Here is a 10,256-nt window from a genome sequence, read left to right on the forward strand (position 1 = left end):
AACCTAGATCTGGTGACGTTTTCAGTCCTGCTTCCTTTCCTCGGTTGCTACCTCACTTCTCAAACTCCTCGGAACGGAGGGATGCCACAAGGGCAGGGCCAGCTGCAGGTGCAGTGAGAAAGGACATGCAGGGCTCCTTATTCACAAGTATTAGGAATTTCAAGATGGTGACAACAGAGCCTTTCACCAAGGAACAGACCCTTCAGAGAGCGTGGCCCTGTGTACTTGTGCAGTCACATGACCATGAAGCAACCCTGTAGGATGGATATACAAATTATTCCACTGGAAAAAAAGAATATTCTCCAGAATACCAGATGGGCTCTCCTTTCTGAAAAGCTGTTGGAACTGGTGAAGAATTGCAATTTTTAGGTGGCTGTACCCAATGGGAAAAGTCAGGTGTTGGAATCTTCCTCTAATTACCAGCCCCTTGTTGAAAGGGAGGACTGAGAGCACTGCAGTGGGGAGGGGTCTGCATGGGAAGAGAGGGGAAGACAGCCCCCAAGCTGGGAACAGGAGGCTTGGAAAGGCAGAGAGAAGAGAACAATGAAGAGGGTTTGTTGTCATTGTTGTTTCTTTGTTTGTTTGTTCGTTTGTTTGAGACAGAGTTTTGCTCTGTCACCCAGGCTGGAGTGCAGCAGCACGATCTCCACTCACTGCAACCACCGCCTCCCAGGTTCAAGCAATTCTCCTGCCTCAGCCTTCCAAGTAGCGGAAATTACAGAAGAGTGCCACCATGCCTGGCTAATTTTTGTATTTTTTAGTAGAGTCGGGTTTTCACCATGTTGGCCAGGCTGTTCTTGAACTCCTGACCTCGTGATCTGCCTGCCTCAGCCTCCCAAACTACTGGGATTACAGACATGAGCCACCATGCGCAGCCTGTCATTGTTGTTTCTTTCAAGAATATAAGAAAGCTGATAATTGGGAGAAAGTTTACTATGCACAAAGGATGAACTTCCCTTTTAGCATGTTTTTTTCCAAAAGCCTTAAAATTTGCAGTTCTACAATTATAGGTATTATACCATGTTGAAGTCTCAATGAATATGATTTTGTACCAAGAGAGGTCCATGTAGAGCCCTCGGTTTCATGAGTTGCACAATAAAACTGCTATTGGTTAAATTCCTAATTCATAAACATAAATGTAACTGCCTTAATAAGTATTCACTGGATAGACTTAGAAATACAATTACAGTTTAATTTTCATTAAGTCAATGATTCACTTACAAAGAGAGAATTCTGAGAACATTTTAAATCACAGAATTCTCAAGAATGCCATTCAGAGCTTTATTTTTGATGCTGATGAAACCAGTGGGATAAGTAGACCCCTTCTGCTCTTACTGATATGTCTTAAATTAGGCAACAAAATAATAGCCAACAAATAAGAAGTATTGTCAAGTTGAAATAGTTTTACCAGCATCTTAATATATTAACAGCTCTCTGGTGGTGCTACTGAATCAAAGACAAATTTTAGACAGTCTAGAGAAAAAGGCAAAAGCATATTCTTTAGGAAGTTGTCTACAAATAAGGTTCTCTGAACTGGGAGCAGCGAGTTTGGGCTTTTAGTCCCTGACAACTCCTTGGAAGAGAGCAGAGCTAAGCCTTGACTTGATGGACTCTTATGAAAGCGGAGAAGCCAGACATGAATCCATACCGAAAGGAAGACCGCCTGACCTTCACACAAAGCAGCCCAGCTTTATAAATGTCAAGAAAGGACTGAGAGCTAGCCTATCCATGGCTTCACCTTTGTTGCTGAAATGGACTATTTACAAGGAAGAGGGCAACAGATAGAAGAATATCAATAATCTCAGAAATTCTCCAATTCTTTCCTCTATCAAATTGCATTCACTAAATTGCACTTTGGCTTTATGACCCTGGTTTACATTGAGAACCAATAAAAATGACCCTTCGTGCACTCTAAGAAAATAGTTGAAAACAATACTGTTGAGAACAGTCATGTCTCTGACATAATATCCTTGGGAAAAATGTTCCTTTGTCATATTCTGAATAACAGGTAGGTTAGGGGGCTCCTACTTCTCCTTCTGATGACATTCAAGAGAGAAGGACATCCCTTTCCTATCAGAATTTTTCCTTTAGTGGAGTTAACATTTCCTATAGGCCTGAGGCAAGAATTCAGAGACCAGCTTCTTCCTCTAGGCTTCCTCTCACATAGAATAGGGACATGGTAGCCATTCTCTGCCAGTGTCAGGTGCCCTGATAGAAAGTGCCCAGCAAGCAATATCACATTGTACCACACCACTAGCCCCAAACTGCTCAGCATTTTTTTTTTTTTTTTTTTTTTTTTTTGAGACAGAGTCTCTCTCTGTCACCCAGGCTGGAGTGCAGGGGCGCGATCTTGGGTCACTGCAAGCTCCGCCTCCCGGGTTCACGCCGCCATTCTCCTGCCGCAGCCTCCCGAGTAACTGGGACTACAGGCGCCCGCCACCACACCCGGCTAATTTTTTTGTATTTTTAGTAGAGACGGGGTTTCACCGTGTTCGTCAGGATGGTCTTGATCCCCTGACCTTGTGATCTGCCCACCTCCGCCTCCTAAAGTGCTGTGATTACAGGCGTGAGCCTGCTCAGCATCTTTATACATGAAACATATTTTTAAAAGGTGACTATTAAAGGCAGCTTTGAAGAGGAAATTAAGACACAAATGGCAATGAGCATCTAATAAATAAGAGGGGAAAAAATGTTCCATCAACTTAAAGATGGATGTGTGTGAAAGTGCATTAATGGGTTAATTGTGTGTGTGTGGTGCGTATGTGTGCACACACATATGATAGCATACGTATATATTAAATGGTTATATAGGTATTGTGTATTTATATATGATTGTATGTGTATATACATTATTAAATACGATTATATATGTATATATGTATTTATATAATTTCATAGGCATATGTGTGAGTGTATACTTCCTGTGGGTCTTTAAAAAATGAAATCACAAGGAGTTCATCATCCTATTTCTGTACTGGGCTACTTCTTTGACTTACCAACCAATTTGTAAAAATGTAGCCCTGATCCCTAGTATGTGCCCAGAGAGCCCTGTATCTCACCATGAGCTTTGGAACTTGTCTGACCAGGGCCATGGGAAACTTGATATTTAACACTGCTGCTAACTCTTGGCTCCTGCAGCAGAGTATGTTACTGGGATGGCAGTACAAGTAAAAATGGTATGGCAGTGCGGGTCATGGTGCCCACGTACGCTGCTTGGAACAGGCTTTCACGAACCCTCAGGATGAGGATTCATAGCCTACTATCACTTCAAGTCCAAGATGGAAAGTCCTTTTGGTGTCTTCCACGTCATGGTTCATGGACAGTTAGTGTCAGCATCACTGAGGAATGTGTTAGAAAATCAGTCTCAGGACCCAACTCTGTCCTATTAAAACAAAATCTTGCAATGAGACTGAGGAAACCATGATCTGACAAGCTGTGCAGGTGATGCACACTGAAATTTGGGAATCAAAGAGGCCTCAGAAGTGGGTAACTGATGTGTTATTAGAAGGTTACTCAGTCTTCTGATTTAGAGCAGGTGGTCAGGAAATATTCAGTCTCCAAGAGAATGAAAGTAGGGGGCTGACTTACCATTGTAGACTTTTGGGAATTAATAAATATGTATATCTGAAAAAGAGAGACACTTTGTCTAAGTGAATATAGTATTAAGATTCTGTAATTGCCAGAGCATTTCAGGAAGCAACCTTCTGCCTGAGGCAGGACTGTTAGAATGAAGTCATCTTAGTATGGTTATAATGCCTGCCAGATGCATTTTAAAACACAACTGGTTTGACTGGTGTCTAAAACAGGCTGATAAGGAGTTCAGTGCCTGTGAGTCTAAAAAGGCCAACCGTAGAGTTAAAAAACATTCAAAAGCCTCAATCACTTCATTTTGAGACCATATTTTACCTGTGTTACAGTTTCCCAAAATTAAACAGCTTTGTATCATAAACAGCTGAGCAGTCGTCCCGAAATTGTTAGGAATGACTGCCAAAAAGAACTTCCTGTTATGTTTTTCATTATTGTGGCTATTGATCATTTATGAGTAACAGCAAAAAATGAGGGATTTTTCTAAACATTGAGATCTTCCCTTTGGGATCAAAATGCAAATAAGTCAGATGAGGTTCAGACTGGAAGAGGGAGAGGGAAGGAGAAAGTTATTCATGTGAAGCAACCAACTGCATGTTGTAGCGCCTCTAAAGCCTTTGGTCCGTTACTTGTGTTTTCTTTAATTCTAGTTTGATAATGTCTTTGGATGCCTAAGCTCCCCTCCTGTTTTTATCCTATCAACCTTACATCTCAGTTCAAAATTATTAGGCATTTTCCACTGCTATTCAGTGTGATGATCAAAACAAATTGCCAATCCTTTTTCCCTGGTAAAGAGTCCGAGGTACTGACAGTTCAGATAAGCGATGTGTTTCTACAGCAGTCAGAAGTGTACAAAAGTGTTCATCTTGGAGCCCTTAGCTTCTTTGCTCACCATCTCCATTCTTACACCACAACACATTCTGCACATAAAATACTCACATTAATTCAATCATGAAAAGACAAAGTTTACACACTGTCATAGCTCCAGCTGCTATGACAAAAATGCCATAGACTTGGTGGCTTACACAACAAACTATTTCTGAATGTTCCAGAGCCTAGAGCTTTAGTCTCTTAGAAGTAGCTTTTTAGTGCAAAAAAAAAAAACAAGAAACTTCTGGACAAACCAGGATCCACTTTAGGCTCAGGTCACCTCATTTCCAACTCCTTGAACCACTTCAATTGTTAAAGAAAAGTTATTCCGACACTTGCTAAAATGGTAAGGAAAACTTCATTCAAGACTTTATTCAGGACTATTGCAATAGGTGTCAAGACTGTAGCAAGCAACCGGGGAGAGATGGGGCTCCACTTCAAATACAAGAAAAAGTGGAAATCTCTAGCCAAGGAGCAGGTGGGATGGGGATGGATGTTGGCAGAGGGAAAATTACTAACAGGAGACATCAAGGACAGGGGGCATTTTTGTTGGACTGACCACACAGGATTCTTGCTAAGAGCAGGCCAGGGTGATCAGAGATCAAGGGCGTGAGGGCTCTTGCTAAACTGACCTAGCAGGATTCTTGCTAATACTGGATTCTGCCAGGAGGGAAGGCCAAGGCCTAGTTGAGCACAGGGTTCAAAGAAGCCTGACTAGTTTGGTCAGGGAGAGTCTTTGTCACTATGTACCATAAAAACATGCTGACCGTGTCATAACACTCTGGAAGCAGACAGCATCTATGACTGCCCTCCATAAATGACTGGGTCCCATTCCACCATGAGTTTTATTATCAAATCTTGCCCTTAAGGTCTTGTTCATGTCCTCTAGCTCAGCCTACTCAGCAGGGATATAGGAAGATTTTAAAACACAGACTCCTTCAAAGCAAAGATATGAAAGGATGTGGCTTTGTATCTACTCAGAGCTGGGAGCTGCCAGATAATCTGAATAGAACCAAGGGGCTCAATGACACCCACCCCCCAAGTCTTAGTTTTTTGTGGTACCTGGTATTTTCATCATGGAAATAATTACTCAGAGAAATTTCTGAAAACAAAAACACCTGTCTACCTCCTTCCTTTGTCACCTATAGTTTGTTGGATTTCAAAGCACAGAAATTGAGTCAGGGTTAATAGTTATGATGCTTTCAAAAGTAGCAGAAACCAGGACAGAAACTGGCTTAAACAATAATGAAACTTACTTTTACACATAAAATACTCAGAAGTAGGGAGTCTTCAGAAATAATATGAAGAGTTGCAAAATTATGTAATTTTTTTTAAAAAAGTTATATTTTTCTGTCTCTTCGCTATTTTTTCCTTAATATCTACTTCATCCTGGTCTTGTCATGGCTTCAGAATGACTGCCTATGAAAATTTAAGTTACATGCTTCTTTGTGCATGTTAAATAGAAAGCAGAGACACAGTGATATGGTTTGGTTGTGTCCCCACCCAAATCTCATCTTGAATTGTAGCTCCCATAATTCCCACATGTCGTGGGAGGGACCTGGTGGGAGGTAATTGAATCATGGGGGCAGGTCTTCCCGTGCTGTTCTTGTGATAGTGAACGTCTCACAAGATCTGATGGTTTTATAAATGGGAGTCCCTGCACAAGCACTTTCTCTTGCCTGCCGCCATGTAGGATGCCCCTTGGCTCTTCCTTCATCTTCTGCCATGATTTTGAGGCCTCCTCAGCCATGTGGAACTGTGAGTCCATTAAACCTCTTTCCTTTATAAATTACCCAGTGTTGAGTATGTCTTTTTGAGCAGCATGAGAACACACTAATACACACAGAGATATGCCCCCTACACATAAGTTATATGCCCACCCCAACCACATTTATCATCACTGGGTTAATTCCATAACAAAATTTAGCTCTTTCTGGAGCAAAGGATGAAGTAGATGCTTGATCCCAATCAGGGCTCTGATAAAAAAAGGAAATGGGAAAGGATCACAGCTAGGTGACTGTCCTTAAAATCTGTTGTTAGCACACCACCGTCACTGTACCCCCAACTTTCCTCCACAATTCAAAGGCTAAAACCCTGTAACTACATTTTATAGACACCCTTACTTGTATGATACAGGTTCAAACTCCTGCAAAGAAAGACAATTCTGTGAAATGTAGAAAGTGAAAGAAAAGCAGAAGCTATAATATGGTAGGCAGACTACAGTCATGAGAAGTTCAGCGGTTTCCAGAAGTTCTGTGAATTGCCCTCTTCAGCAGGCAGCAGAAATCACTGGAGGCAGCATCCTATGGCCCCAGTAATTCCTGATTCCCAAAATGTTAGCAGAGGTTTTCCTCAACCTTCACTTCTCCAACACTTCTGATAGTTCTGCAAACATCTATTTCTTGGTACTAAGTTTTTTCCTGTTTACAATATCTAGAATAGCGTCATTTTTTGCGACCCTTAACTTCCTGCAAACTCAGCGTCCCCTTTACCTGGAAAGAGAGTGACACCAACTAGTACAAATGCCATTAGGCGATCTGGAGGAAGGACTCCCAAAAAGGAAAACAGCATTTCCACTATCATCTCTAGTCTCCTCTTTCATGATATTTTAGATCAGTTTTGAGCATAACCACTTTCTCAATACTTATTTATTGACCAGAGAGATACCCCTCCATATATGACACAAACCTTACAGTGGTGGCCTGGAATATACATTCATGAATTAAGAAATTCAGCACTGCCATCTGCTCTGCTTTTGATGAGAGCCTCGGGCTGCTTGTATTCATGGCCAAAGGCATGTGCAGAGATCACATAGGGAGAGAAGAAGCAACAGAGCACAAGGGGAGGTGCCAGGCTCTTTTTAACAACCAGCTCTCACAAGAACTCATAAGATGAAAACTCACTCACAGAACCAAAGACAAAAACCAGATGATTATCTCAATAGATGCAGAAAAGGCCTTTGACAAAATTCAACAACACTTCATGCTAAAAACTCTCAATAAATTAGGTATTGATGGGACATATCTTAAAATAATAAGAGCTATCTATGACAAACCCACAGCCAATATCATACTGAATGGGCAAAAACTGGAAGCATTCCCTTTGAAAACTGGCACAAGACAGGGATGCCCTCTCTCACCACTCCTATTCAACATAGTGTTGCAAGTTCTGGCCAGGGCAATTAGGCAGGAGAAGGAAATAAAGGGTATTCAATTAGGAAAAGAGGAAGTCAAATTGTCCCTGTTTGCAGATGACATGATTGTATATCTAGAAAACCCCATTGTCTCAGCCCAAAATCTCCTTAAGCTGATAAGCAACTTCAGCAAAGTCTCAGGATACAAAATCAGTGTACAAAAATCACAAGCATTCTTATACACCAATAACAGACAAACAGAGAGCCAAATCATGAGTGAACTCCCATTCACAATTGCTTCAAAGAGAATAAAATACCTAGGAATCCAACTTACAAGGGATGTGAAGGACCTCTTCAAGGAGAACTACAAACCACTGATCAAGGAAATAAAAGAGGATACAAACAAATGGAAGACCATTCCATGCTCATGGGTAGGAAGAATCAATATCATGAAAATGGCCAAACTGCCCAAGGTAATTTATAGATTCAATGCCATCCCCATCAAGCTACCAAACTACCAATGACTTTCTTCACAGAATTGGAAAAAACTACTTTAAAGTTCATATGGAACCAAAAATGAGCCCACATCACCAAGTCAATCCTAAGCCAAAAGAACAAAGCTGGAGGCATCACGCTACCTGACTTCAAACAATACTACAAGGCTACAGTAACCAAAACAGCATGGTACTGGTACCAAAACAGAGATATAGATCAATGGAACAGAACAGAGCCCTCAGAAATAACGCTGCATATTTACAACTATCTGATCTTTGACAAACCTGAGAAAAACAAGCAATGGGGAAAGGATTCTCTATTTAATAAATGGTGCTGGGAAAACTAGCTAGCCATATGGAGAAAGCTGAAACTGGATCCCTTCCTTACACCTTATACAAAAATTAATTCAAGATGGATTAAAGACTTAAACATTAGACCTAAAACCATAAAAACCCTAGAAGAAAACCTAGGCATTACCATTCAGGACATAGGCATGAGCAAGGACTTCATGTCTAAAACACTAAAAGCAATGGCAACAAAAGCCAAAATTGACAAATGGGATCTAATTAAACTAAAGAGCTTCTGCACAGCAAAAGAAGCTACCATCAGAGTGAACAGGCAACCTACAAAATGGGAGAAAATTTTCGCAACCTACTCATCTGACAAAGGGCTAATATCCAGAATCTACAATGAACTCAAACAAATTTACAAGAAAAAAACAAACAACCCCATCAAAAAGTGGGTGAAGGACATGAACAGACACTTCTCAAAAGAAGACATTTATGCAGCCAAAAAACACATGAAAAAATGCTCATCATCACTGGCCATCAGAGAAATGCAAATCAAAACCACAATGAGATACCATCTCATACCAGTTAAAATGGCGATCATTAAAAAGTCAGGAAACAAGAGGTGCTGGAGAGGTTGTGAAGAAATAGGAACACTTTTACACTATTGGTGGGGCCGTAAACTAGTTCAACCATTGTGGAAGTCAGTGTGGAGATTCCTCAGGGATCTAGAACTAGAAATACCATTTGACTCAGCCATCCCATTACTGGGTATATACCCAAAGGACTATAAATCATGCTGCTATAAAGACACATGCACACGTATGTTTATTGTGGCACTATTCACAATAGCAAAGACTTGGAACCAACCCAAATGTCCAACAATGATAGACTGGATTAAGAAAATGTGGCACATATACACCATGGAATACTATGCAGCCATAAAAATAATGAGTTCATGTCCTTTGTAGGGACATGGATGAAATTGGAAATCATCATTCTCAGTAAACTATCGTAAGAACAAAAAACCAAACACCGCATATTCTCACTCATAGGTGGGAATTGAACAATGAGAACACATGGACACAGGAAGGGGAACATCACACTCTGGGGACTGTTGTGGGGTAGAGGGAGGGGGGAGGGATAGCTTTAGGAGATATACCTAATGCTAAATGACGAGTTAATGGGTGCAGCACACCAGCATGGCACATGTACACATATGTAACTAACCTGCACAATGTGCACATGTACCCTAAAACTTAAATAATAATAAAACTTTAATAATAATAAAAGAAAAGAAAAAAAAAAGAAAACTCACTCACTTCCCCCTCCCAAGGAGAGCATTCATCTATTCCTGAAGGATTGCCCACATGATAAAAACACCTCCCAGCGAGCCCCACCTCCAATACTGAAGACCACATTCCAACATGAGATTTCGAGGGGACCAATAACCAAATTATAGCAACAAATGAAAGAAATTTCCAGAAAGAAATATTACTAATCATTTCCTAAGAAATGAAAATATTTTAACACCAAAAATATAGGAAAGAGAATTTTTTATATAGGACAGTCTTTTAACTTGGATGTATTTACTATTTTAAAACAACCGAACAAACAAACAAACAAACACATTTTACTCAGCCCATTTCTCCACAGAGCGGTGAAAGCTCCTTTAACTGAGGAGCCAGGCTATCAGTACATTTGAAGCCACTGTCTGAGTGATGCCAGAACACATACCACCTCATGAGAGAAGCCAAAATTGATTATTTGGGATGTTTCTTAGCCTGTTTCATCATATAATTGAAACTCTACCACCACTTTTCTTTCATAAAAATAATAGGCCCTTGAAAATCAATATCAATATGATTTGTAACTGCTCAGCTACT

Source organism: Homo sapiens, chromosome 2 (genome assembly GCF_000001405.40).
Source record: "Homo sapiens chromosome 2, GRCh38.p14 Primary Assembly".
Classification (NCBI taxonomy): Eukaryota; Metazoa; Chordata; class Mammalia; order Primates; family Hominidae; genus Homo; species Homo sapiens.